A 26,279-nucleotide genomic window follows, 5' to 3' on the forward strand; every position below is an offset into this window, starting at 1 on the left:
GAGGTGGGTGGATCACCTGAGGGCCAACATGGTGAAACCCCATCTCTACTAAAAATATAAAAATTAGCCAGGCATGGTGGTGTGTACCTGTAGTCCCAGCTACTCGGGAGGCTGAGGCAGAAGAATCACTTGAACCTGGGAGGTGGAGGTTGCAGTGAGCCAAGATTGTGCCACTGCACTCCAGCCTGGGCCATAGAGCAAGACCCCGTCTAAACAAACAAACAGACAAACAAACACAGAGGTGAAGTGACTTGTCCGGGAAGGCTGGCGGCCGAGCTGGTCAGCACTTGGAGAGTCTGGCTGCCCCTCTGGGCTCCCCACCCTGAACTCAGTTTCATGTGTGTGGACCGCAACTGACTTTTGTGTCTTAATTTGCATAAGGAACTAGTGGGCTGGAGGAAGGTGAGAACAGGAACACTGCCTCCTGTACTTTCGTTCTAGCTGGGGGAAATTTATGCTTGACCACAAAATACATCCACATCGTATCATTTTGGTAATCAAGAATCTTTCTGAAGAACATGGCTTTTTCAAAGTTCGTATCTCTTCTAACCATTTCTCTGCTACTAAAAGTGGTATATTTTTCATGTATTTAAGAAAGTTTTAGCACTCAGACTCTCTTTCTCTTTGTTAGGGATGTAAAGAATCATTTAAACTATGAACACAGAGTCTTTAATAGTGAAGAATTTCTCAAAACCAGGGCTCCAGGGGACCATCAGTTTTATAAGCAGGTGAGAGCTGTGGGATTTGGGTGTGCCTGTGTGTGTTCAATCCATTATCCTTTTCTGTATTTAAATACTTTTCAAAATAAGTGTTCTCAAGTGTATCAACTTTTCCAAAAAGTTTGTTTTAGCATGGTTCCTTTTGACCATGTGGCTCTCCCTCTTTTTTAAAAAAATCAGCTTTTTAAGAGTATAATTTACTTGTGGCCAGGCACAGTGGCTCATGCCTGTAATCCCAGCACTTTGGGAGGCCGAGGCGGGCAGATCACCTGAGGTCAGGAGTTCGAGACCAGCCTGGCCAACATGGTGAAATCCCATCTCTACTAAAAATACAAAAATTAGCTGGGTGTGGTAGTGCACGCCTGTAATCCCAGCTACTCAGGAGGCTAAGGCAGGAGAATTGCTTGAACCCAGGGGGTGGAGGTTGCTGTGAGCCAAGATGGTGTCACTATATTCCAGCCTGGGCGACAGAGCAAGACTCCGTCTCAAAAAAAAAAAAAAAAAAAAAGTATAATTTACTTAAAATATGGCCATTTTAAGTGTGTGGTTTGATGGATTTTGACAAATGTACATATCTGTATCACCACTTCCTCAACCTGGACATAGAACATTTCCATGGCTCCAGTCTGCCCCATCCCTCCCCAGGTCCTGGCAACTCTACCTGTGTGCATCCCCGTAGACGGCTGGCCCATCTCAGAGTCTTGCGCTGTGCAGTCCTGCGGTCTGCGCTCTGTCTGCCTCTCTCCCTCAGCCTCCTGCCTCGGACCGAGCTGGGCTACTGTGTGTCTCAGCGGCGGCTCCTTTTTTTGCTAGGAATGTCCCGTGGTTGGGACAGAGTGCGCTTTGTTCTTCTGTCCACCTGCTACTGAGCATTGGGGTTGTTTCCATTTGTGACTATTACAAAAAAATAATCACCTTGGGGGCTTTGCCCTGGCAGGCGATTGAAGCTGCCTGAAGAGCCCCTTGATCCTTTGGGGGTTTGTTTTTACAGCTTTGGGGTGGGCCGAGAACAGCCTTTCTCTAGGGTTGGTTTATAGCCTAACCCATCTGCTAAGTGACGTACCCTGCCCCGGGTGTCTCCTGAATGGCTGAGGGGTCAGCCAGGGCCCTCCGCCTTGGCTGTTGGGAGCGTGACTGGCTCTCTGCCCTGTGAGCTTGGAGAGTTGTTTTGCTTACAGCTTCCCAGTCGTTCTTTGGTTTGATGCGGTTTCGCCCTATGACTGGGCAGCGGGGTATTCAGCAAAGGCTTAGGGAGACCCTGATGCAGGCTCCGGGAGCTCCCTGTATCATTCCCTCCTCTCCAGAGCCCTGCCCGAGGCTTCCAGCTGCCTCAGCCTCTGTGAGCTCCCTCCATGCCCTCAGTGCTGGAGCTGCGCCAGCCACGAGCCTGCCTCTCGTCCAGCATCTGAAAACAGTCGTTTCCTCTTTTTTATCGAGTTTCCTCATAGTTTATGTCAGGAGGATATGTCTGAGCCTTGTCTACTGCCTTATGGCCAGAAGCTTGTGTCCACCTCTTGTAGCTATGATGAAATACTCTTTTGTTCATGGGGTGGGTATGTGGGACCCAGTGTGTGAATGTATGGCAGCCATTTCTTCTCCTGTGTGAATGAGGAAGAGCAGAAAACCCTCGAGTTCATTCACTCAGTCAATATCCACTGGGTGTGAGTGGTGATGCCCAGTTCTGTGCCAGGAAGGCTCAGGGGCTTTGGAGCAGGGACCTGGGGAGTCGGCACAGCCCAGTGACCAGCCCCTCTCTCTTTTCCAGGTCTTAGACACCTACATGTTCCATTCTTTTCTTAAAGCCCGGCTCAATAGGAGGATGGACGCCTTTGCTCAGATGGACCTCGACACCCAGTCGGAGGAGGACAGGTGCTTCACTGTTGTGTTTTGGATCTGCAGCTCTTTAGGAATCACAGTGTTCAAGGACCTCAGTTTTATTCGAATGAGTAAATGAGAAAGTCAATGGGAAATACCTTGTGCTTAGAAACTCATGATGAACTGGGCGACAGCTAGGAAGCTCTTCTCTCCATGTTTCTACTTCTTCTTTTTTTTTTTTTTTTTGAGACGGAGTCTCGCTCTTGTTGCCCAGGCTGGAGTGCAGTAGCTCAATCTCCGCTCACTGCAACCTCCGCCTCCTGGGTTCAAGCAATTCTCCTGCCTCAGCCTCCTGAGTAGCTGGGATTACAGGCACCCACCATCATGCCCGGCTAATTTTTGTATTTTTGTAAAGATGGGGTTTCGCCATGTTGGCCAGGCTGGTCTTGAACTCCTGACCTCAGGTGATCCACCCACCTCAGCCTCCCAAAGTGCTGGGATTACAGGCATGAGCCACCACTCCTGGCCTGTTTCTACTTCTTGAGGGAACACTTGAAACGTGCCCGATGTTAGCATGCTCCCCGTGGTTTGTGGCCCTTGCGTCTTCCTCGGTGCTGCTCTCTCTCATCTCCTTTCTCTCTTCCCACCTCCCCCCATCCTCAAAGCCTGCTGTTTTCCATCTCTTCCTTGCTCTCTTCCTGAGCCCCCTCCAACATGTGTCTGCTGCAGTCAGGGCCCCTGTTGGCTTATGCTGGTTTCTTCTGGGCTTGTGTCTGGGTCCCCCTGAGGCTGCACTTGGTGAGATTTGGGCAACATGTTCTTACCAGTCTGTTTTCCACTGGTGTCCAAGAGTGTCATGTGCTCTTCATCACACTGGGAAAAATGCTTAGTTTAGGCTTATTCTTCAATCATTATTGTGTCTATAAACTAACGCGTTGCTTTTTCGTACCCCAGAATAAATGGAATGCTTCTAAGTCCAAGGAGACCGACCGTTGAGAAAAGAGCCTCCCGGAAGTCCTCGCACCTGCATGTCACCCACAGGCGCATGGTGGTCAGCATGCCCAACCTGCAGGACATTGCCATGCCTGAGCTGGCACCCAGGAACTCCTCGCTCCGGCTGACGGACACCGCAGGCTGTAGGGGCAGCAGCGCAGGTGAGGGCTGCCCCCCACTGTGGTGCTGTGTGTCGGTCCCACCATTCCTGCACCTGCAAGTCATTGAGCAAAACTGGGACTTGTTTCAGGAGAGACGAGTGGGCTTGTTTTAGCAGCTGAGTTATTTGAAATGTTTAGAATATTCATTTTGCCAAGGTATGCCTTCTAGAAAATTATTTCTCGTCTGTATTTTCTGCCACCCAGTGTCACCGCTAAAGATAACGGGGGCTCGGCATGGTTCGGCATCCTTCACAGGTGTAGGCTGTGCCTGTCTCTGTATGTGTGGATTGCATGTGTATAAATACATATTTACACATCCACACGTGTGATAGGAGGCAGGGAGCGCACCAGGCACTTTCTAGAGCCGGAGCTGTGAAGGAGCCCAGTGCCCCTGCCCTCGTGGAGCTGGCATTCCAGGGCCAGGGCTAAAGTGAGCAGGGCCAGGGATGGGGAGGGGGCTTGACTGTGGTTGGGACATTTCCACAGAGATGGGACTGCATGGAGAGGCCAAGCCCAGCCTCGCGCCTTCTTGGGGAGGTACGTCCTGTCCCTAGTGAATGGGAGAAACTGTCGGGAGGCCGGGGCCTTGACCCCCAGGGCACCTGCTGCTGCTGTCTCGGGCCCAGGCAGCAAGTACCATGTGGCTCCTCCTGATCACTGTGCTGGGACCCCAGGAGCTGCACGAGTGACACCTTGATGACCCCGAGGGCTATGGTCTAGCAGGGGCAGTGCGCATGAATGACAGACCACGTTGTCTTTATCGGCTGAGCGCTGGAGCTCAGAGCGAACATTCTGGAGGCCACTGTGGGGTCCGAGCCTTCTGCCCCTGGCTGTGTGACCCTGGGCAGGCAGCTTCACCTCCCTGGTTCTGCAGTTCCTCTTCTGAACATCTGTCAGTCTGCCGCTGGCAGGTGCCCTGTGCCCACTCACCCTGGGAGCATGCTCCGCTTTCCCTGCCCTCGGAACCTTCCCCTGGAGCCCCCATGACCCTCCTCCTGCTCTCTTGGTCCTCTGGAGCTCCTGGGAGAAGAGGAAACCCAGCACCCAGTTGGTGCCTAGCTCCTGGAGGGCCCTTAGGTAACATCTATAGAAGGAGTTGGTGTGAGACACACACCTGGTTGAAGTGTGGCTCAGGCACTTAGTCGCTGTGTACCTGGGACAAGTAACCCAGGCTGTGGAAGCCTCGGTTTCCGCATCTGTAGAACGGGACTATAGTAATAATACCCCTGTCCTGAGTTGTCTTTAAGGTAAATGAAACAATGGTTCTAAAGGGCTTCATCCTGCCTAGCAGGTACATCTTGGCTTAGGCTATTAGCTTCATCCTCAAATAAAGCCTCAGTACCCGATACCTCAGTAGTATTACTAGTTGTAGCAAACCAAATTGTTCAGTGAATGCTAGCTGCTATTCTCCTTGGGGTACCATGGAAGCAAAGTGAGGGTTCTCTCATGCCTCCCAGGGGGGTGGGTGTGTGGAGCTTTCTGGAGGGAGCACACCCATTCTCATTTTATTTTGCATCCAGAGAAACATTGTCCTTGACAAGATGATGTGACAGGGACACGTGTTCATTTGGAAGGTCTGTGCTAATGGTCTCCTTTTCCCCCTGAATGTTTTAGTTCTGAATGTCACGCCGAAGTCCCCGTATACATTCAAGATTCCCGAAATCCACTTTCCGCTGGAGAGCAAGTGCGTGCAGGCATACCATGCCCACTTTGTCTCCATGCTGAGCGAGGCCATGTGCTTTCTGGCCCCCGATAACTCTCTGCTCCTGGCCCGCTATTTGTACCTCCGAGGGCTCGTTTATCTGATGCAGGGACAGCTGCTGAACGCCCTCTTGGACTTCCAGAATCTGTATAAAACAGACATACGGATCTTTCCCACTGATTTGGTGAAGAGGACGGTGGAATCCATGTCTGCCCCTGAGTGGGAGGGGGCTGAGCAGGCGCCGGAGCTGATGAGGCTCATCAGCGAGATCCTGGACAAGCCGCACGAGGCCTCGAAGCTGGACGACCACGTGAAGAAGTTCAAGCTGCCCAAGAAGCACATGCAGCTGGGCGACTTCATGAAGCGGGTCCAGGAGTCAGGGATCGTGAAGGACGCCAGCATCATACACCGGCTGTTCGAGGCCTTGACTGTAGGTAAGAGGAGGCCTGGCACCATCACAGATTTTATTATTTAGAGACAGGGTCTGGCTCTGTCGCCCAGGCTGGAGTGGACTGGCAATCACAGCTCACTGCAACCTCCACCTCCTGGGCTCAAGCAGTCCTCCCACCTCAGCCTCCCGAGTAGCTGGGACTAGACTACAGGTACGCGACACCGTGCCCGGCTAATTTTAGTATTTTTTGTAGAGACAGGGTTTCAGTATGTTGCCCAGGCTGGTCTCGAACTCCTGGGCTCAAGTGATCCACCCACCTCGGCCTCCCTAAGTGCTGAGATTACAAGAGTGAGCCTCTGCGTTGGGCCCATATATTTTATTTTACTTTATTTATGAGATGGAGTCTTGCTCTGTCTCCCAGGTTGGAGTACAATGGCACGATCTTGGCTCACTGCAACCTCTGCCTCCTGGGTTCAAGTGATTCTCCTGTCTTAACCTCCTGAGTAGCTGGGATTATAGGCATGCGCCTCCACACCCAGCTAATTTTTGTATTTTTGTAGAGACAGGGTTTCACCATGTTGGCCAGGCTGGTCTCAAACTCCTGACCTCAAGGTGATCCACCTGTCTTGGCCCCCCAAAGTGCTGGGATTACAGGCGTGAGCCACCGCGCCTGACCCTATATATTTTAAATGCTTAACGACAGTGGTCAGGTAACAGCAGTGGTGAGGTAAGCCGCCAGCAGGTGGCAGGCAAGACCGCTGCAGCACCGTGGTCTTTACAGTTGCCCTGGGCACTTACCTGGGAACGGGTGTGGTTGGCGGGGCCCTTAGGCAATGTGCCTGTCCTGAGATCTTACACAGCCTGTCTCCAGGCTGGGCTCTGAGCTGCGCTCTGTGTGGGTGGAAGGGACCTAGAATTGCTGATGGGAGATGAAGACGCTCCTTGTCCGGGAGAATTGCTCAGCATCTGCACAGAACCATGGCCTCGGCTGAAATGCTGCAGACACATGCAAAAGCGGGGACGTGGGACAAATGCCAGGGTCCTGCGCCCAGACTAACACCTGCTGCGTTTCCCATGGAGTGCAGTGGGCTTGTGCTTAGACCCAGCGGGGGCTCCGTGTGCCTCTCTCCCTCCCTCCCCAGAGGGAGCCACTGTCCGAAGCTGGAGCTTTCTTTTCTGGCCATGTTTTTATGCATTTACTACAAATGGATGCACCTGACGCGGTACCTAGTGGTCGTGAGTTTAAACACAAAAATGGGAGAATGGGAATTGTCACACCGTATGTCTGAGTTTGCACGTGCTGTTTTACTCATGGTGTTTTCAAGACGTATCTGTGTTGCTCCACATCCGTTGGGTTCATTCACTTCAACCACTGCCTGTGCTGTATGTAGTGTGTGGGCACCATTTGTCCACCTGTTTCACCATCAGTGGTGTCGCACCTGTTTCCTGGAGTATGTGTGGGTCAGTTCCTCTGAGATGTGTACCCAAGGCCTGCTTTGAGATGTGAGAACCGTCAGTCGGGCTTGGCGGGGGCCGCGCCTCCATGCTCCCAGGCAGCACACATTCCTCAGTCTCGACTCTCGCCCGTTGTGAGCCTGCAAGGATGCCACACTGACGTCACAAACAGTGCACGTGCTTGGAAGCAGTTCTGGTTTCTTTTCTGTGAGCTGTGTTGTCATGGTCTTTGCCCATTTTTATCTTGGGCTGCTTGTCCTTTCCTTAGGGATGTGTAGGGCTCTTCAGGCCCTTGGGAAAAGCTGTCCTGGTGACAGAGGCCCGGCAGGTCTCTCTTCCGGCTGTGAAACAAGCGCTGCGGAATGCAGTTTCCTTGCTTATCGTGCCCGTGGGCTCTGAGGGATGTCATGGCCGAGTGTGTGTATGAGTGTGTATGTGTGTATATGAATGTGTGTGGGTGTGAAAATGTGTATGTGTGTATATGTGTGCGAGTGTGCGTGTGTGCGCGCGCTGTACCTCTCCCTGCGTGGTGAAGCCATCAGATTGTGCGCTCACTGATCCCTGTTGTTGAGTCTGATAAGGGTGAGCTCAGAAGCCATCAGATCGTGGCCTCACTGGTCCCAGTTGTGGAGTCCGATGAGGGTGAGCTCAGATGCTCTGTGGTCACTCCCTGTGCCGTGCTTCGGGGACGCTGAGATGCTGCACCAGCCAGGCAGGGCGGGGTGGGCCCCACTTCCATCGAGCTCCTGCGGATGATGAGCACCACCCAGGAGCCACCTGGGGGGCAGGGCAGGGGCTGAATCCCACTGGGGGTGACTGTCTCTCACATGACAGGAGTCCAGGGCATGCATGGAGGCTCCTCCGTGTCATCTAGCGCCAGCTCCTTCTGTCACTCCTCTGTGGCCTGGAGCGGCCTGCTGTCTCCCGGTCACGAGCCAGCCCGTGGGCATCAGCACCGCAAGAGCAGGGTCCGTCCATCTTTTGAGGCACCCCCACCCCCGCCACACAGTGCCTTCTGTTTCCTCTCATTGGGCAGAATCGTGTCATGTGGCCGCCCAGTTGCAAGGGAGCCCGGGAAGGGTGCGTGGGCCCTGTCCAGCAGACCTGGCTGCTTGTGATAATGCCATCAGTGGCCCTGTTGTCACTTTGGCCTTGCTTACGTTGCCGATTAGGTTAGGAAATGGTCTTGATTCTGGGATATGTGAGCCTGAAGTTACCAATGTAAAGCAGCACCTAATACATGTTTTGGCCAAATGGGCATTTGTTAAAAAAAACAACAAGGTTTGGTCAGAGCTCAATGTCACCATCTTTGGACAAATTTATGTGATATAAGAATACATCAGAGATTTTATTGAAAAATATATTGCAATTTCATCATTACATACTTTAATGGCAAAATATGCTATTAACAGTGCAAGGCCAATATGCTCCCTGTTGCAGCTGCCCGTGAGGTGGCCTTCCCCAGGGACGCTGACATGTCTGCCACCTCCAGCATGGCCGTGCAGAAGCAAGACGTCCATGGGCAGCTCCAATGGTGACGTTGCCTGCACGCCACCTAGCTGAGCAGGAACAGTTGTATTGGAGGCGTGTGGGTGACGAGAGAGAGGTTAACGGCTGGTGTTTGTGTGAAACTGGAGACAAATGAGGACTGGGCATTGTGTCTACGTGGGCGTGTGCAACAACTGCGTGCATGACAGCTGCTGTGGATCACATGGGCTCATGAGTGTGCCTGGTGTCCACAGATGTGCACAGTGGTCATAAGTGTGCAGTGTTGGTGTGTGTGCACAGTGGCTGTGGGTGTGCGTAGTAGCCATAGGTGTGCACAGCGGCCATGGGTGTGCAAAGTAGTGGGTGTGCACGGTGCTGGGCGTGCACAGTGGCCGTGGGTGTGCACTGTGGTAGGCGTGCACAGTGCCTAGATGTGCACGCTGTTGGTGTGCATGGTGATGGGCATGCACAGTGGGTGTGCACAGTGGCCGAGGGTGTGCATGGTGGTGGTGTGCAGTGTCTGGGTGTGCACTGTGGTAGGTGTGAACAGTGGGTGTGCATGGTGGTGGCCGTGCACAGTGGGTGTGCATATCGGTGTCTGTGGGTGTGCACAGTGTCTTGGGTGAGCATAGTGGTGGGCACGCTGCATAGGGTGGGTGTGCGCAGTGGTGGTGGGTGTGCACGGTGGTGGGCGTGCACGGTGGTGGGCATGCACAGTGGGTGTGCATAGTGACTGTGGGCGTGCACAGTGTGGGTGTACACTGTGGTAGGTGTGCACAGTGGATGTGCACAGTGGCCGTGGGTGTGCACAGTGTCTGTGGGTGTGCACGGTGGTGGGTTTGCACAGTGACTTTGGGCATGCACTGTCTTGTTCTGCTGCAGTGCTGGTGGCGTAGTGTCCACAGGCTGGCTGAGCACTGGTGGCAGCTGCGGTGAGTGTTGCTTCTTGCCTGATGGGACTTCTTTGGTGTTGCTGCTCCTCCCTTGGTTGGGGTTTTCTAGAGCCCTGAGCGCCCTCACACTGAGGTCAGCGCTGTTATCTGTGAGAAGAAGCTGTGTCAGGCTCTGGTGACACACACTTCACCCTGCCAAGCCCCCCAGTAACTGCTGTGGACCAGGCAGCAAGAAGATTTGCCCTGAGCGGCGCAAGGGGCAGGACCCATGGCTGGGGCTCCACACTCAGGGTGTCTGGCTCCTTCATTAGGTGATGGCTTCGCCGATTCACTCTCACTTGCTCTCCTTTTCCTGTTTCTTGGGCCTCTCCTCGCCTGGCCACCTGACCAAAAGATTGCTTTATGTGATGTGATTCATGTAACAAGTGCTTCTGCCTTAAACCCAGAGTCTGTGCCTTGGCTCACGCCTGTGATCCTAACATTTCAAGAGGCCCAGGCTAGAGGATGGCTTGAGCCCAGGAATTCGAGGCTGCAGTGAGCTATGATCACGCCACTGCACTCCAGCCTGGGTGACAGAGCAAGACCCTGTCTCTAAATTTAAAAAAAAAAAAAGAAAGAAATACATAAAATAAAAACTAAAATAAATCCAGCAACTCAGAACCCCTGGGAAGTGTAGGCTGAGGCACCCCAGTCAGAGGCGGAGGTGGCTGAGGCACCCCAGTCAGAGGCGGAGGTGGCTGCATTGGGTGCTATTTCTAAAACGGAAGGGAGACTCTGGCAAACAATCTTAGGTACAGAGTCAGGAGAGGACCCCCATGCTCTTCGCGACCTCACAGATGACCTTGCTGCCCAGCACAGGGGCTGCAGAGACCTGGCCTGACAGGCCCCGCCCACTGGGCCACAGCATCCTCCTTTGTCTTCTTCTGTGACTTCTTTGGAACAATTGCACTAGGCCTACAGAGACCCTTACTGGTGCATATTTCTCTTCTGTTTGGATCTGGTGACTAGAAAATACCGACGGGCCAAAAGAATAATTCATCGGGAATCCCGCCACCTGGTGGAGATTTTCGCATAACCACCTGGTGCCTGCGCCGCGTGCTGAAGCCTGCCTTCCCGCTCAGCTCACCCCTGCAGGGCCGGCAGTGCCTGTGACTCGGAAGTGAGATGTAAGAGATGAGGAAATTTCCTCCTGAGCCTGTGACAGCGCCGACTTCCTTCCTGTGGCGGTCGTCTTTTAGTTGCTGCCGTGACGACTCAGTCGTCCTGGACTCAACTGTGGCCATGATAGCGGATTCCCTAGACAGGCATCGCTGTTGACGCTTTGGTATGGAATCGGAACAGGGCGTGGCGGAGCTGGACCATTAGCCACGTCTTTTGCTGTTTCAGACTCGGGATCTGAGGATCTGAGGATCTGAGGTCACAGGTACTCCCCTTTCAAGCAGCGACCAGCAGGGAAGGCATACCCCAGCTCTGGGCAGACCGTCTGCCCAGCCTCACGGCCCAGGTCTGCTGGCAAAGGGCTTTCCTCTCTGTGTCTCAGTTTCCCCTTTTGAATGAGCCACCTCATAAGGTGGCTGTAAGGATTCAGTGGGACCCCATATAGAGTGGATTCTGGTTCTTGGGGTGTAGCAAGTGTTGCTGGATACAGCAGTGCCATAAGGGAAGCAGGTGTGCAGCTCAGCAGTGGCCTGGCCAGGATGTCTCTGCCTTATCGGGGAAGGCGTGCGTGGGCATGCCTACCTGGGTGTTGAGGGATGGGTAGGAGTTTCCTGGTGTGAGCAGGCAGGATGAGTGTGTGTGTGCGTGTAACAACACGACCTGTTTGGGAGCATGCTTGGTACGGCTGGGCTGTGGGGTGGGTAGGTGGGGCCCAATCTTGGAAGAATGTGGCTGTGGTATACAGAAGCAGCCCTGAGTGTTAAACATGGGAGCGGGAACTCCTCTCTGCATTTGAGAAAAGTGGCTCTGAGTGCCACGCAAAGCAGGCTGTGAGTGCGGGTGGCTCTGAAGGCAGGAGCCACTGAGGAGGGTTTTCCTGTGCAGAACTGAGGGGGACTTGCTGCACGTCAGGGGACAGAGAGAGGGACACTGGGTGGAGGCAGAGCCGAGCAGGCAGGCTAGGGGCTTGAGTTGGCAGGACCTGCCGGCAGGGACTTGGGATTTCCGAGGGGTCGTCCCATCTCCCGCTGACAGATAAGCAGGTTCGTTCCGCGACTTGCCAGGAGTCTCTGTGAAAGGTCGTGAAGCGGGCTTCAGGCTCAGGCTCCTCTGACTCCAGAGCCCGTGAGTGCTGGCCTCGTGGGAAGGTTACTGCTTCTCATCAGCGGAGGTGATTTCAGTTGCAGACAACAAAAGTCAATGATTTGCTGGTAACCAAAGAGTGTGGAGGTCGGGCCAGTTACAGGAGAGGCCGACCCAGTGGCAGGGCAGCGGCGCTAAGGATCCAACCTTCCCGGCGTTAGCTTCATCCTAGGACTAGCTCCCCTTGTGACCCCAAGACAGTGGCCAGCAGTTCTAGTGATGAGGAAGGTCTTTGCCCCCATTAGAAGAGTGTCCTTGTCCGGAAGGACTTTCCTACCCAAAGGTAAGAGTTGCTGTGACTACCTGAAGCAGGTCCCGTGGCCATCCCAGAGCGGGCGGCTGGAAAGGGCTGCGGGCTCAGCCTAGATCGTGTGCCCCTCCCTTGACAGCTGGACACACCTGGGCTGCAGGGAAGGCCCTGGGAAACCTTCTAGGCAGTTTCCATCCAGCGCCCTGAGTGCTGGCGCCACCTGCTGCCGGGTTCCGGTAGTGTGCGGTTTCTTCAGGTCATGGAGAAGCCCTTGGGGCTCCCGAGGTATGTGGCTGTAAGATACCTCTCTTTTCTTCTTATCAAACTAAGGACAGGAGAAACAAATCGACCCAGAAACATTCAAAGATTTCTACAACTGCTGGAAGGAGACGGAAGCAGAAGCCCAGGAGGTCAGTCTGCCGTGGCTGGTGATGGAACACCTGGATAAAAACGAGTGTGTGTGTAAGTTGTCCAGCTCCGTCAAGACAAACCTAGGCGTTGGCAAGATCGCCATGACCCAGAAGCGCCTGTTCCTCCTAACCGAAGGAAGGCCAGGCTACTTGGAGATTTCCACCTTCAGAAATATAGAGGTAAGGACAGCACAGGCAGACGGCGCCAGACCCCACCTGTGTTTAGGAGACAGATGGCTGGAGTGGGCCCTGAGCAGTCTGCCAGCCATGCCAAGTACCAGCTGCAGCCCTTCTGCAGACCGAATGCCTTCCTGTCCCTCAGTTTGCTCATCTGTAAAGTAGGAATAAGGCTGATACCTTCTCAGTGGGTGGTGGAGATTGAATAGTTTGCATATGGAGCATGCTTAGAATGGTAACTGATTCTCTGTCACAGCTGACTTGCATCTGGGAGGCAGGAAGTAAGAATGTGGGCTGACATTCTCATTAGGGACAGTAGGACGCCTTCGTTCATCCATGAGATGTTTACTGAGAAACTGCCATGTGCCAGCCACGGTGAGCTACAGTAGCTCACATTTTCTAGTCACAGTCGGACCTGGTTCATATAAAACATAACAAGCTTATTTTATAACAATTAAAAAATCTTCAAACAGTTTTAACATTATATTCTAAAGGTAGTCATTTTCCCTGTCGAGGAAATCTGAATTTCATCCTGATTCCTCTTACGCCTTATAGTTGTTTTCCCAGATTTAAGGGGACTGTAAGAGGCATGTCAGATACACAAATGTTTTATGTGATCACCTGCTGAGTGGTCATAGAAGCCAGAAAGGCAGTCAAGCCACAGCCGCAGCCCATAGTAAATGCTCGGCCAGTAGATCCCCCTCTTGCTGTTGGCCTTCAGTTTATGCTTTTTTCCACACCTGCTTTTCCAGACTTCCTTCTAGAATTCCAAAGAAATGTAAATAAATATAAGGAAAGGGAGATGGAAGTAAAAAAAAACAAAAACAAAACAAAAAAAAAAAAACAAAAAGAGGGAGAGAGAAGTATTTAAGGATGTGAAAGAATGCGCTGCCTTCGGACACTGGGCGAGCCCAGCTGTGTGGGTGGGTGTAGGTGCCGCACCGCAGGTGAATCCTACCTGCCGTCCATGGGAACACTGCCCCTCACCCGGGGCCCTGCCTTCCACATGCCAGCAGGATGCGTGCCTGCAGCCCATCTGCCTCTTCATTCCAGAGCCCGCTCTGCCTCTGTCTCTGGTGAATCCACGTGTTCTCTGAGTGTGACATTCCTAACTTTTCTTTTCTGCCTCTGCAGGAGGTCAGGAGAACCACTACTACATTTCTACTTCGGAGAATACCCACTTTAAAAATCAGAGTGGCGTCCAAGAAAGAAGTCTTCGAAGCCAACCTGAAAACCGAGTGTGACCTTTGGCACCTGATGGTGAAGGAGATGTGGGCTGGGAAGAAGCTGGCCGATGACCACAAGGTGGGAGACGCGGGTCCCCTCTGCCCTTTGCTGTGGCTGCCTCAGGGGCCTCTCGCCACCTGTGGGTCCTGTGGCAGTCCTCAGCTGTGAGTGCTCGGGCTCGGGTCTGAGTGTCTTAAGCAGAGTAAGTTTGTCGGACACCATCTTGACAGAAGCATTGAAGATGTGGTCTGTGTGACCCAGCGAGAGGCCTCACGGTGCTACGGAAGAGCATGATGAGAAAACGCAGGGCGGTCTGGGCAGGTGTGGGTGCCCCACTGCCCGCTCCAGACTGGCGACATCCCAGAGAGTGGGGCCTCCCGGGGGCGGACGGTGCTGGTGCTGTCCACACCCGCAGGCCGGAGTTGGGTGTTTTGGGCTTCCCTGCTCTGAGCGACTCTTCACAGTCACAGGATTTGGAATTCGGCAGGGGCAGTACTGCTTTCCTTCCACAGGGTTGAGATGATTTTTCTAGGGATTGTTGTACCTTAATTTACTTTGGGCCAAATTGATAGCTTTGATGATATCAAATGACAATTGCATAGTAATGAAGGGAACCATGGGCCGGTGGTGTGTAGAGGAGGCATCCACGCTGCTCAAGGGTGGCACAAGACAGGAAGACGCCTTAGAAAATGGGCAAAGACCATGAACGCGGAACTCACAGAAAGGGAACAGTTCACCAGGTTATGAAGAGGTGTGTAGCCCCACTAATCCTCAGAGAAATGCCGGGGACGATGGCACCCACTACAGTGGCAGTGCTAGGAGGAACAGATGGGGCCACAGCGGGAGGGTTGCTGTTATTACAGGAAGTTCCCGGTCACAGGGCAGAGGGGGACTGGGTCCTTTCTAAGATTCCAGTGCCCTGTGGCTTTTAGACTAGCCATCTGATGCTATACCCACTGGTTTACATAGCATAAACCAGCATAGTCAAACCAAAGCCCGTGGGCCAGTGGACTGTCTTTGTAAGTAAAGTTTTATTGGAACACAGTCCTGCCTGTTTGTTTATGAAATGTCCCTCGGTGCTCCCATGCCGCAGTGGCAGGCAGTGGGTGATCTCAGCTGAGACTGGCCACAAAGCTTGAAATGCCTCCTGCCTAGCCCCTTCTAGAAAACACTGGCTGAGCCCTGGTATAAACAATCAATATTTGTCTTAAGTAAGAGAAGAAATATATGACATAAAATCCAAATTCATCCGTGATCTAAACTCTTCATGTCACTTTGGAAAAAGGCATTTTGGAAGGATTGTCCTGTGTGTTGCAACAAGGTCTCCGGTGAACTGATCTTAGTGATTCTTGCTGTTTTGAAACGCACGTGTTTCTGTTGTAGGACCCTCACTACGTCCAGCAGGCGCTGACCAACGTCTTGCTGATGGACGCCGTCGTGGGCACACTGCAGTCACCAGGCGCCATCTACGCTGCCTCCAAGTTATCCTACTTTGATAAGATGAGTAACGAAAGTAAGATAAGCCCGTTCTTAGCGTGGATCATTGTCCTGATTACACGCCTTAAGTGATTTTATCTGGTCGATGTCTGTTTTATCAAGTAGAACCGAGCCCAGCTCCCCCAGTTTTTTCTTTTATATTTGTAATTTACTCTCGAGTCGCACACCTTATCCGGCATCTTTCCTTCCTTCACTGCACAGTGCACCTTGGAGCCCCTTGCGCATCCAATTGAGGCACCTCGTCGTTTTAATGTCTGGATAGCATTGCAATGTACACTGCAAGCATTTGTGGTGATTCGTAATTACAAACAACAGCCTTTCCTCTGGCTGGCTGAAGCAGACTAGAAACCTGTGGGAGGTTGTGGAGCGGCTCCTGGAATCTCTGACTGGTGGGGAGCGGGTGTCTGGGACTTGCAGTTAGGAACACACCTGCTGAGAAGCTGGGAACGTCTACACAGCTGGCCTGTTGACTGACGGGCTTCACCGCTGCATGAGTGAGGAGAGGCCCTGCACGTCAGGATCCGCTTTTTTCTTGATTGGGTCAGCTTCCCCAGACAGGAATCCTCTGACTGTCCTGTAGATTTGCATCTGGCTCTCGCATTCTGGAAGCCATAGAGGCTGGTGCTGGACTCCCATTTTTTTCTTGTGAAAGGTGATCTTCAAGCCTAGGGTTTTCTGGTCTTCTTGTGACTGAGTGATAGACACCGTTTGGGTGAAGGACGTTTGGTCTGTCCCTTCATCAGTGAGTGAGCACTGGCGTGGCCTCTGTGTTGTGGCTGCTGTGAGCATTCATGTGTAAGCTCTGGTGTGCACATCTGTTTTCATTTCCCTTGGGCGTAGATCTAGGGGACTCTGGCTTTTTAAAAAGTCGCAGAATTAGGAACAAACCTCACTTACGTGTTTATTTCCTTGGGCACAGTTTGCTCTCTTTGTGGCATCTGTCACCAACTGCAGGACCTCTGCCACTTTCTGGGTACAGAATCCCTCTCCCACGTGACCCAGAGGGACCTTGAGCTGCAGCAGCAGCCGGGCTCAGGTGCCTGTGTTCCTGCAAGGCCAGCTGAGTGGCTTGAAGGAGCTTTTGTCTGACAGTCCTGGAACCAGACATTGATTGCTCTTTTCTTTTTCCTTGGGAGCAAAATCAAACAAACCCCCTACTTCAGCTGTTGATCTCATTCCAAACTCATGCCTAATCTCTGTCGGGCGTTTACAGGAAAGCCTTCTAACGCCTCTGTTATCAGCGCATGACGGCAGACGAGGAGCCGCCATGCTGGTGTCACTTGGTGTGGTGCGCTGGCTCCCGCTCCCTCGTTACAAATCCGGAAACATTTTCCCATGTGTAAAGCTCAGGACACATGAGCCTGAGCTTAATTTAGTAGCTTATGGCCAACTCATGATGGAAGGTCTCAGACTGTACGGAATTAAATAATACCCGAAGATGTCATAGTCCGAGGCAGGAGCTGAAGAGGCGTTGGCCGCGGCCAGTTGGCTTTCACCGCAGCCCGGTGTAGCCCGCCAGCCTCGTGCGGAGTCCTGGTCGACCCCTTGCTGACAGTGTGATCTTCATTTGATCACGGATGTCGACGTGTGTCGGTTTCTTCATCTTTCTTTTTTCAAAATGGGGATAACGGGACCAATCTCATCAGGTTGCTATGACAGTAACAAAATGATGGAAGAGAAGCACTTAAGGGGCAGGCCCTGGACGGCAGGGACTGAGGGAGTCCTGGACGCAGGAGGTCGAGGCGCCCGCAGGGGCTGGCAGGAGGGACCGCAGAACAGGCTGGTCCCAGGGGCCTCCGGGCAGCAATGAGGAGCCGTGTCAGAGCAGGCTGTGCCCGGGGGCCTCCAGGCAGGAGGCCGCTTTAGGTTTTGCCTGGAAACATGGGTTGGATTGGATAGCAAGAGGAGCATTAGGATATCCTGAGGAGCAGTGGTTTTGAACGGGGGGCGATGTTGCACCCCCTCACTGCGGAGAGGCATTTTGACAGCACCTGGAGATATCTGTGGTTGTGTGTGAGGTGCTACTGGCATCTCATGATGCTCCACATCCCATGGCACACAGGATGCTGGGCATTCGCCCACAGCCAGGATTATCCAGCCCAACACGCCCCTGGTTCTAGGCTGGGAAACCGCGCTCATGGGTTAGGTCTCTGGGTTTCATCTTGGGAGGGCTTCGTTATTGAGGAGAATTTTATATCTCCGCTTTGCTGGGCACTGTGTCATGTTTGGGTGTAGCTAGAGATCACAAGGGATGGCTCAGGAGCAGAGAAGAAGGCTGTGTTTAAACAAAGGCAGCTCGAGGCATAGGGGCATGGAGGTGTGGTGTGGACACAGGTGGGGGATGCGCCTGGCCACTCACTCGCACACCAGGTGACAACCAGGAAAGGAGGCCGAGGGTGCATGGCTTTCTTTCAGTGCCCCGGGTCCAAGAGACCTTCGTCTTCACAAATTAGGAAGTTTTACCTGCAAGCTGATATTCTGCAGAAATCAGAGTGCGTGAGGCCGTTGCATCGCGTCTGTTTCCTTGAGGCTGCAACAGTAACACTCCAAGTGTCTTGTCTTTCAGTGCCCATGACGCTTCCGGAGACAACCCTGGAAACACTGAAGCATAAAATCAACCCCTCGGCGGGGGAGGCGTTCCCACAAGCGGTGGACGTGCTGCTCTACACTCCAGGTAAGGCCCCTCTGCCCGCGCCTCGCTGCCAGTTTTCAGCCAATCTGATGCGCTTAGGTTTGGGTTCAGGGTCAGCCCTGAAGTGAAAGGGGAGCCAGTGTCACGGGATAAGTGGGGACAAGGTGCCTGTTGCTTTCTGAGGTGAAGTGCTGAGTGACAGGTGTGCAGCTGGCACGACCGCTCCACGGACTCAGCCTCACGGTGACTGGAGCCAGAGAGCCCACGGGAGATGGAATTGGGGCCAGCACTTGAGCTCCCGCCCCAGGGCTGCCGTCCCTCACCTTCTAGAGCAGTCGACGGTCACGCTAGCTCTTTCTTTTTTTGAGACGGAGTCTTGCTCTGTCACCCAGGCTGGAGTGCAGTGGTGAATCTTGGCTCACTGCATCCTCCAACTCCTGGATTCAAGTGATTCTCCTGCCTCAGCCTCCCGAGTAGCTGGGACCCCAGGCACCCGCCACCATGTCTGGCTAACACACTGGCACTTTCTAAAGCACTCTTGCTCACATCGTTTCCGCAGAAGCTCTTAATGGGATCCTCTTGTCATGGTGATAAGGTGATGGCGCCTCAGATATTTGTTGTCATAGGAACTGGAATGACAAGGAGTCTGTGTGGCCCTGAGCGGCCCTGAGTGCCTGCCAGTCCCTCTTCTCCGCTGGGTGCGGCTGCACCTGCCTCCTGTGCTTGGCTTTCCTGGGACCCTGCACGCCGCATCAGGGTGGTGGCAGGAGAAGGAAATGGGCGCGGCCAAGAGTCTTGGTATAAAAAAAGATGGCTGTCATGTCGCACGTTGAAACTGTGGAAAATACTTTTATTTAATTTTGGCTTATGGACAGTGCAGCAGGGAAGCTTATGCTGAGGGTTTACAGTGTGGAAAACAAAGGAATACAGTTCTCGGCAGAAAAGATTTGTATTTTTTGTGTATTTTTTATTTTTTTGAGTCAGGGTCTTGCTCTGTTGCCCAGGCTGGAGTGTAGTTGGTGCAATCATGGCTCATTGCAGCCTCAACCTCCTGGATTCAAGCGATCCTCTTGCCTCAGCCTCCTGGGTAGCTGGGACCATCGGCTTGTACCACCAAATCCAGGCACGTGCCACCGAAACCAGGTGATTTTAAAAATTTTGTGTAGAGACGGGGTTTCGCCATGTTGCCTAGGCTGATCTCGAACTCCTGGGCTCAAGCGATACCTCTCCACCTTGGCCTCCCGAAGCGCTGGGATTACAGGTGTGAGCCACTGCGCCAGCCCAGAAGGGATTTTTAAAATTGTCACTTTGTTTGTTGCATCTGCGTCTGCAGGTGTCAGCCGTAGGTGTCAGGGATGCAGATGTAGGTGTCACCCCCTCTCACAGGCCATGTCCGCGGCTTCACAGAGCACCTGGCCATTCACACACGGAGCTCATGCTTCAGGTGGGCAGAGAAGCTGTGTGTGAAGCGATTTCCCCATAAGAGAGTTTTTCTCTCTTCATGGCAGGCCAAGAAACCCAGGAACGCGATAGACCCTGGCTGAGTGAGCAGGCAGCGTCATCAGGGCCGCCCCGCGTGAGCCCTACCTGATGTGTCTAAGCCAGGCTCTGTGCTGACTTCGCCAGAGATGACTCCACAGACCAAGATACTTTGACCGTGGCATTTGAATACATGGTATTTTTAGGTCCCGGTTGGTTTCCCTGAAATGAAACTCACTCTGAGCTTCCTGTTGTGACGGGCGAGGAGTTCAGGCGGCTTCCCCTCCAGGAGCATCTCGAAGGCCTGCAGAGAGCGTGCAAAGCAGCCGTGGGGAATGGGGAAACCGCCTTTTCCTGTGGCTGCCGATTCTGGAAGGGGTGGCCGAGAAGCTGGTAGCCGAGCAGGGCTTTTGCAAGCCTTGTGAGATTGCAGGGACAAGAGGTGGGGTCAGGCCCCATCAAGAAGGGGGAGTCTTGTTATTCCCATTAGCTTGGGGCTGGGTCTCCGACAGGTTCCTAGGAGTTAGGAGAACCAGCCCTGAGGCCAGGCCACAGGTCAGCTCAGGCTCTGCCCATGGGGAGCGTGCCTCTCAGAGACGGCAGTGTCTCACCCATGGGAGCAACAGACCACTGGAATCGCACCCCAGAAAGACCGGGAGGCCTGCCCTTCTGGACTCAGGACGGAGGCAGCACTGCAGGGCGGGGGGTCGCTTGAATATCCTCAGGGGAAAGGTGAAACCTCGCCCCTTCACACTGCCCTGCGGTCAGGCCCAAGGGGGCCGAAACCTCAACGCGGTGGTAAAAGGCAAATGTGAACAATGAAAGCAAGCAGACTTCTAGGTGATAGGGTAGAAGAATATTTTCATGACTTTATGGTAAAGAAAAAAATGCATAAATTATATATAAAATACCATAAAGGAAAAGAATGTTGAATTTGACTATATTAAAAGCAATGACTTTATTATTTTTATTTTTTCTGAGACAGGGTCTGACTCTGTCACCCAGGTGCAGTGGCGCGATCACACCTCACTGCAACCTCTGCCTCCTGGGCTCTAGCGATCCTCCGCCCTCGGCCTCCTGATTAGCTGGACTGCAGGTGCACACCACTATGCCCAGCCAATTTTTGTATTTTTTTTTTTTTTTTTTGTAGAGATGGAGTTTTGCCGTATTGCTCAGGCTGGTCTTGAACTCCTGAGCTTGAGCAGTCTGCCGGTTTTGGACTCCAAAGCGCTGGGTTAGAGGCGTGAGCCACCACAACTGGCCAAAAGCAATGATTTTAAAAAGAAGACACTTTTTTTTTCCTCCTTTCAAATGAGCTGGTTTAATTCACGGTGACACAAAATTGAGGGTAGAAGACCAAAGAGCGCCCTCTGGCAGGCTCAGGTGGGAATGACGGGTGAGAAGCCACTGAAGACGTCCGGTGACACTGTCAGTTTTTTGTTTTGTTTTTTTTTTTTTTTAATTTAAAAAAAAAAAGAAAAGTTTATGCTTGAAAGTGCAACAGGCTCCAGGGCAACGCTCACTCTAGCTGAAGATGGCAAAAGCTGTCCTGGCGGGGGTGCAGGTGTTGAAACAGGAGTGGAGTCCAGGCCGCCACCGCCCAGGCAGAGGGAGCAGCGTGCTTTCCGCCAGGGGTCTTAGTTCCAGCTGTGGCTGGGCCTCCCTGCGGCCTGTGCTTTCGGCCCCTTGAGGTTCTGGTCTGTTTTGCTTTCTGCTGGAAGCCTCATCATCTCTGTCCCTCTCCTGGGCCTGCTTCTTGGGCTGTCTCAGAGGCTTCTTGCCATCTTCATGGCCGGACACGGCGCCTACAGCCTCTTCCCCAGACCCTGCCACAGGAAATGGACAGAAGACACTTTTGAGAGGGTGAAAATGTAAGCTGCAGACTGGGAAGGATCTTTAAAATGGGTGCTGCTAAAATCATTGCTTTTAATGTAGTCAGATTCACCAGTCTTTTGCTTTATGGTATTTTTATATGTCATACGTAATTTATGAATACAGCACCATGGAGTCAGTTAGGGGCTCATATCCAGAACACCGGAACAGCTGGCCGGGCGTGCCTGTGGTCCCAGTGAGGTGGGAGGGTGGCCAGAGCCCTGGACTCGGAGCCTGTGGTTTGCTGTGATCGCACCTGTGAACACTGCTGCACTCCAGCCCGGGCAACATGGCAAGACCTCGTCTATTAAAAAGTAAAAAAAAATAAAAATAAAAAAAAATAACAGCCACAAACTAGGGAGAACGAAAAACAGACACTTCCCACAAGAGGGCATGGGGATGGCCAGTTCAAGCCATCAGGCTCATTAGCAATTAGAGAAATGCAATTAAACCACAATTTAAAAGCCAAAAGCTCCACACCCTTAGAATGGCCGAAATTAAAAAGATGGACGGACGCCAGCAAGTGTTGGGAAAGACGCGGAGCCCGCTGCACATGAGGGTGTGGGGGGCACCATGGCCCCTGCCGCCGTCTCTCCAGCTGCCCTCCCTCCCTGCCTCCCTCCCTCTGTGTCCACCTGCTCCTCTTCCAGTTCCCTCTGCCTGGCTGTTTCCTCTAGTGAATGCTCACTCAGCTGGCAGGTCCTGGCTTAGCAAAGCTCACAGGCATTCGGCTCTGCATCTGCCTGCGGCTCTGACCCTGTCTTTGTGGCCCTCTCACCAGCCAGCTGCCCCCCTTGACTCTGAGCTCCCAGAGGGCAGGGAAGCCTCTGCCTGGGCACGTCTTTGTACGTACAGCACCTAACATGGGCCTGGCGCTTAGGAGGGCCCAGGAGGCACCTGAGTAAGGGCACCAGTCACCTGCTGCTACAGCAGAAGTGTTTCCTCCTAACAGTTTTGTGCTGCTCTCCTCTTTAGGGCATCTTGACCCAGCCGAAAAAGTTGAAGATGCTCACCCCAAGTTATGGTGTGCTCTGAGCGAAGGCAAGGTGACCGTGTTCAATGCTTCTTCATGGACCATCCACCAGCACTCCTTTAAAGTGGGCACTGCAAAAGTGGTGAGTACACGAAGCGTCAGGAAAGAAGCCTCTGAATTCACGTGATTTCTGAAACCCAAGTGTGTTCATCCATATTCGACAGTAGGATACAAGCTATTCCACAGCCTCACTCGGTTTCTGTAAACAGGGGGTCTTAACTTTCACCTGGAGTTTTCAAATTAAATGTAAGCTTGTTCCAAACTTCTACTTACACGTCCTTATTGAAGGAGAAGATAATGGCTTTGACTTTCTCATCTAAAAACAGATTTCAGGCCCCCATCTAAAAATAGATTGCAGGGGCTCACACCTCTAATCTCAGCACTTTGGGAGGCTGAGGTGGGTGGATTGCCTTGAGCCCAGGAGTTTGAGACCAGCCTGGGCAACAGAGTGAGACCCCATCTCTACAAAAACTACAAAAATTAGCCGGGCATGGTGGAGCGTGCCTGTAGTCCCAGTTACTTGGGAAGCTGAGGTGGTAGGATCGCTGAGCCTGGGAGGTCGAGGCTGCAGTGAGCCAAGATCGCGCCACTGCACTCCAGCCTGGGTGACAGAGCCATACCCTGTCTCAAACAGACAAATAATAATAATAATAAAATAATAAAAATCGACGTCAGTTCTGTGAAGTGGAGCCATTGTGGTCTCTGCCTGCTTATTACAGGCTTCACACACTTTGGGAACAATTTCCTTCTTTTTTTTCTTTTTTGAGACAGGGTCTTGCTCTGTTGCCCAGGCTGGAGTGCAGTGGTTCAGTCATGGCTCACTGCAGCCTCGACCTTCTGGGCTCAAGGGATCCACCTCGGTCTCCTGAGTAACTGGGACTACAGGTGCATGCTACCATGCCTGGCTAATTTTGTATTTTTTGTAGAGATGAGGTTTTGCCACGCTGCCCAGGCTGGGAACGATGTCTTCCATCCTGTACTGCAGCACTAAGGTTCCCAGGGACCAGGGCCTTAAAATGAACCTGCAGTGTTTCCTGGGAACCCTGGTGTTTCCTGGTGGCACAGTGGTTACTGGGTCTCTTTTGGAGCAAAAGAGGAGACAGCTGCCTCTGCAGTGACTTCAGTGTTATCCACCTGTCCCCACGTGCCAGGTGGCAGAGACCAGGGCCCAGCAAAACTCAGTGTCCACTCGTCACACATTATTCCTCTCACTTAGAGCAAGCTTGTCCAACCTGTGGCCTGCAGGCTGTACGTGGCCCAGGACGGCTTTGAATGAGGCCCAACACAAATTTGTAAACTTTCTTAAAACATATGTTGAGTTTTTTTTGCAATCTTTTTCCTTCTAGCTCATCAGCGATCGTTAATGTTAGTGTATTTTATGTGTGGCCCAAGACAATTCTTCTTCCACTGTGGCTCAGGGAAGCCACAAGAGTGCACACCCCTGATTTAAAGCAAGTTTGAATTGTTTCTGATAATTTTAAAACAAGTGCAACTGTTAATACATTTTTAGTAGTGTGTCCTTGGCAGTGCCATGGTGTGTCGCTTCTTCCATGACCATGGTATCTTGAGTGTGGAAGCTGGGATTCCTGCCCTGCTCATCCCTCCAGGCCCCCAGCGGCCCCTCCTGCCTGCAGACCATCATTTCTTGGGGATTTTCCCTGTTTGCCCGTCAGCGCTGTGAGCTGCCCCTCCCTGCGGATCTGTGTGCGCTTCCCTGTCGCCCGAGAGGCCGCTGAGTAGCTCCCCGTGCTCTGAGACCCCACACTCCCCCGCACCGTGGCCTGCGCGCCCTTTGTCCATGTTTCTCCTGTTCTTGCTCATGGATTTGCAGATGACGTTCACATTTAAATTGCATTTTATAGTTTTCAAAATATTTTCGCATCTACACTCTCCTCCTATCTGGTCACCCTCCAAGCAGCCACCCCATCATGGGATCTGCTGAGAAATCCTCATGCCTTACTCCTTGAGCATGATAGGATTTTTTTTTTTTTACATGTTTAATGTGAAAAGAACACTCCAGTGGAGTATATACCTAAGTATATATTAGGCATTGGCTGGTACCATTTTTTTTTTTTTGACAGGGTCCCTCTCCCATTGCCCGTGGCTGGAGTGTAGTGGCACAATCGCTGCTTACTGCAGCCTGGACCTCCCGAGTAGCTGGGGCTATATAGGTGCGCACCACCACACCCGGCTAATTTTTGTATTTTGAGTAGAGATGGGGTTTCACCGTGCTGCTCAGGCTGGTCTCAAACTCCTGGGCTCAAGCAGTCCTCCCGCCTCGGCCCCGCCAAAGTGCTGGGATTACAGGTGTGAGCCACTGCGCCCGGCCATGGTATCAGTTTTGATGGCTGTGTTCCCTTGTCTAAAAATAATGTGGGAAAATCCGTGGCACAGTATGTGCTTGCAAAACTGCTATAAAACAAATACTGTGAACTCAAATACATACCACCAAGAGGGTGGGACCACTCTTGAGATACCTGAATAGCAAACTTTACATGTTAGAAGGTAATAAGAGCCTGCTAAATCATTTCCCCCCATATTCAAATCATGAGCCTCAGATGATAAAGTAATAGGATCCATGATACAGTAAAAATATTGACAAAAGTCTAGTAATGCTTTAAACCAAACAACAAAAAAAGGAAAAATTAGGGAAATTATTTTTCTAAATTTAATTTTTTTCAGTTCGTTCTTAGTTATAAGCATTTCAAGGCTGGGCGCAGTGGCTCACGCCTGTAATCCCAGCACTTTGGGGGGCCGAAGCAGGAGGATTGCTTGAGTCTAGGAGTTCGAGACCAGCCTGGGCAACGTGGGGAAACCCTATCTCTACTAAAACTGCCAAACATCAGCCAGGCGTGGTGGCATCAGCCAGGCGTGGTGGCATCAGCCAGGCGTGGTGGCCCATGGCTGTAGTCCCGGCTACTCGGGGGTCTGAAGCGGGAGAATCGCTTGAGCCGGGAGGCTGAGGCTGCAGTGAGCCATGATCATGCCACTGCACTCCAGCCTGGGTGGCAGAGTGAGACTCTGTCTCAAAATAAACAAACAAACAAAAATAAAAATTCTGATTTCAAAGAGTCTAAAAGCAATCATTATGTTGACTTTGCTTAGCTTAGACAGAAACCCTGAGCGCACTCTCTAGACACTGGGAGCACTGCCAGTTCTGCTTGTTCACATACAGTCGGTCTCATCATTTGGAGATTCCGTATTTGCAAATTCGACCACCTGCTAATATTTACTTGTAACTCCCAAAACAGATACTCGTGGTATTTTCTTGGTGATCCACAGACATCCACGTGCACAGACGGGGGAAAAACTTGAGTCACCTGATATGGATTTTCTGGGCCAACAAGTGTCCTCTCCTCGGCCTGATTGGTGCCACAGTTTTCACATTTTTTGCTTTTCGTTGGTGATTTTGCCATTTAAGAAAGCCTCAAGCATGGAGCTCCCTAAGCACAAGGAGGCGGTGACGTGTCTTGCAGAGAAAATGCATGTGTGAGATGAGCTTGGTTCAGGCCGCAGTGACAGTGCTGGCGGCCGTGGGTTTCGTGTTAATGAATCAATCATACGTAGTCAATAAGGTGTCTGTGAACAGAGCACGCGGAGAACAAGGTTATGCACTGATGGGTGGATGACAACGTCAGGGCCAGAGGCTCCCAGGACCCTGAGCCGGCGTGTCCCCTAGGAGCAGTGGTTCCATATCCGCTAATTCAGCACGTGCAGTAAATGTATAGAATATGACTTCACCAGTATCGAGACTGACTGATTTCTCACGTTCCCGTGGCCTCCT

The 26,279-nt window shown here is 52.3% G+C and overlaps 1 protein-coding gene across 30 annotated transcripts in view, besides 10 other annotated features; it reads left to right on the forward strand.

Annotated features, from left to right (window-relative positions):
• DENND3 (DENN domain containing 3) overlaps window positions 1-26,279 on the forward strand; it is a 67,216-nt gene that overhangs the window by 34,113 nt on the left and 6,824 nt on the right. For 20 of the 30 annotated variants that reach the window (NM_001362798.2, XM_011516933.3, XM_011516934.4 and 17 more), the window contains 9 exons: window positions 632-728; window positions 2,485-2,588; window positions 3,489-3,688; window positions 5,303-5,824; window positions 12,499-12,758; window positions 13,890-14,060; window positions 15,366-15,495; window positions 18,046-18,153; window positions 22,438-22,577. In NM_001362798.2, coding sequence (NP_001349727.1) covers window positions 632-728; window positions 2,485-2,588; window positions 3,489-3,688; window positions 5,303-5,824; window positions 12,499-12,758; window positions 13,890-14,060; window positions 15,366-15,495; window positions 18,046-18,153; window positions 22,438-22,577 — 1,732 coding nt within the window. Of the gene's footprint in view, window positions 1-631; window positions 729-2,484; window positions 2,589-3,488; window positions 3,689-5,302; window positions 5,825-10,625; window positions 11,041-12,498; window positions 12,759-13,889; window positions 14,061-15,365; window positions 15,496-18,045; window positions 18,154-19,619; window positions 19,787-22,437; window positions 22,578-25,746; window position 26,279 lie in introns of those variants that run through there. The other 10 variants (XR_007060719.1, XR_007060720.1, XR_928312.4 and 7 more) reach the window with 8 other exon arrangements.
• Window positions 1,949-2,243: a silencer, noted in NCBI's record as "tiled region #5779; HepG2 Repressive non-DNase unmatched - State 23:Low". NCBI's record gives its function as "represses a minimal TATA promoter and a strong SV40 promoter by Sharpr-MPRA in HepG2 cells {active_cell/tissue: HepG2}" and the evidence as "EXISTENCE:reporter gene assay evidence [ECO:0000049][PMID:27701403]".
• Window positions 10,215-10,716: an enhancer, noted in NCBI's record as "H3K4me1 hESC enhancer chr8:142183015-142183516 (GRCh37/hg19 assembly coordinates)". NCBI's record gives its function as "activates a minimal SCP1, AML or CMV promoter by ChIP-STARR-seq in naive H9 embryonic stem cells {active_cell/tissue: H9 hESC(naive)}" and the evidence as "EXISTENCE:reporter gene assay evidence [ECO:0000049][PMID:30033119]".
• Window positions 10,717-11,216: an enhancer, noted in NCBI's record as "H3K4me1 hESC enhancer chr8:142183517-142184016 (GRCh37/hg19 assembly coordinates)". NCBI's record gives its function as "activates a minimal SCP1, AML or CMV promoter by ChIP-STARR-seq in naive H9 embryonic stem cells {active_cell/tissue: H9 hESC(naive)}" and the evidence as "EXISTENCE:reporter gene assay evidence [ECO:0000049][PMID:30033119]".
• Window positions 15,926-16,015: an enhancer, noted in NCBI's record as "active region_28047". NCBI's record gives its function as "activates an Ori minimal core promoter by ATAC-STARR-seq in GM12878 lymphoblastoid cells {active_cell/tissue: GM12878}" and the evidence as "EXISTENCE:reporter gene assay evidence [ECO:0000049][PMID:35858748]".
• Window positions 16,026-16,075: an enhancer, noted in NCBI's record as "active region_28048". NCBI's record gives its function as "activates an Ori minimal core promoter by ATAC-STARR-seq in GM12878 lymphoblastoid cells {active_cell/tissue: GM12878}" and the evidence as "EXISTENCE:reporter gene assay evidence [ECO:0000049][PMID:35858748]".
• Window positions 18,387-18,887: an enhancer, noted in NCBI's record as "H3K4me1 hESC enhancer chr8:142191187-142191687 (GRCh37/hg19 assembly coordinates)". NCBI's record gives its function as "activates a minimal SCP1, AML or CMV promoter by ChIP-STARR-seq in primed H9 embryonic stem cells {active_cell/tissue: H9 hESC(primed)}" and the evidence as "EXISTENCE:reporter gene assay evidence [ECO:0000049][PMID:30033119]".
• Window positions 19,861-19,970: an enhancer, noted in NCBI's record as "active region_28049". NCBI's record gives its function as "activates an Ori minimal core promoter by ATAC-STARR-seq in GM12878 lymphoblastoid cells {active_cell/tissue: GM12878}" and the evidence as "EXISTENCE:reporter gene assay evidence [ECO:0000049][PMID:35858748]".
• Window positions 20,731-20,780: an enhancer, noted in NCBI's record as "active region_28050". NCBI's record gives its function as "activates an Ori minimal core promoter by ATAC-STARR-seq in GM12878 lymphoblastoid cells {active_cell/tissue: GM12878}" and the evidence as "EXISTENCE:reporter gene assay evidence [ECO:0000049][PMID:35858748]".
• Window positions 20,861-21,000: an enhancer, noted in NCBI's record as "active region_28051". NCBI's record gives its function as "activates an Ori minimal core promoter by ATAC-STARR-seq in GM12878 lymphoblastoid cells {active_cell/tissue: GM12878}" and the evidence as "EXISTENCE:reporter gene assay evidence [ECO:0000049][PMID:35858748]".
• Window positions 21,701-22,655: an enhancer, noted in NCBI's record as "H3K4me1 hESC enhancer chr8:142194501-142195455 (GRCh37/hg19 assembly coordinates)". NCBI's record gives its function as "activates a minimal SCP1, AML or CMV promoter by ChIP-STARR-seq in primed H9 embryonic stem cells {active_cell/tissue: H9 hESC(primed)}" and the evidence as "EXISTENCE:reporter gene assay evidence [ECO:0000049][PMID:30033119]".

The sequence above is a fragment of the Homo sapiens genome, chromosome 8 (genome assembly GCF_000001405.40).
Source record: "Homo sapiens chromosome 8, GRCh38.p14 Primary Assembly".
NCBI lineage: Eukaryota > Metazoa > Chordata > Mammalia > Primates > Hominidae > Homo > Homo sapiens.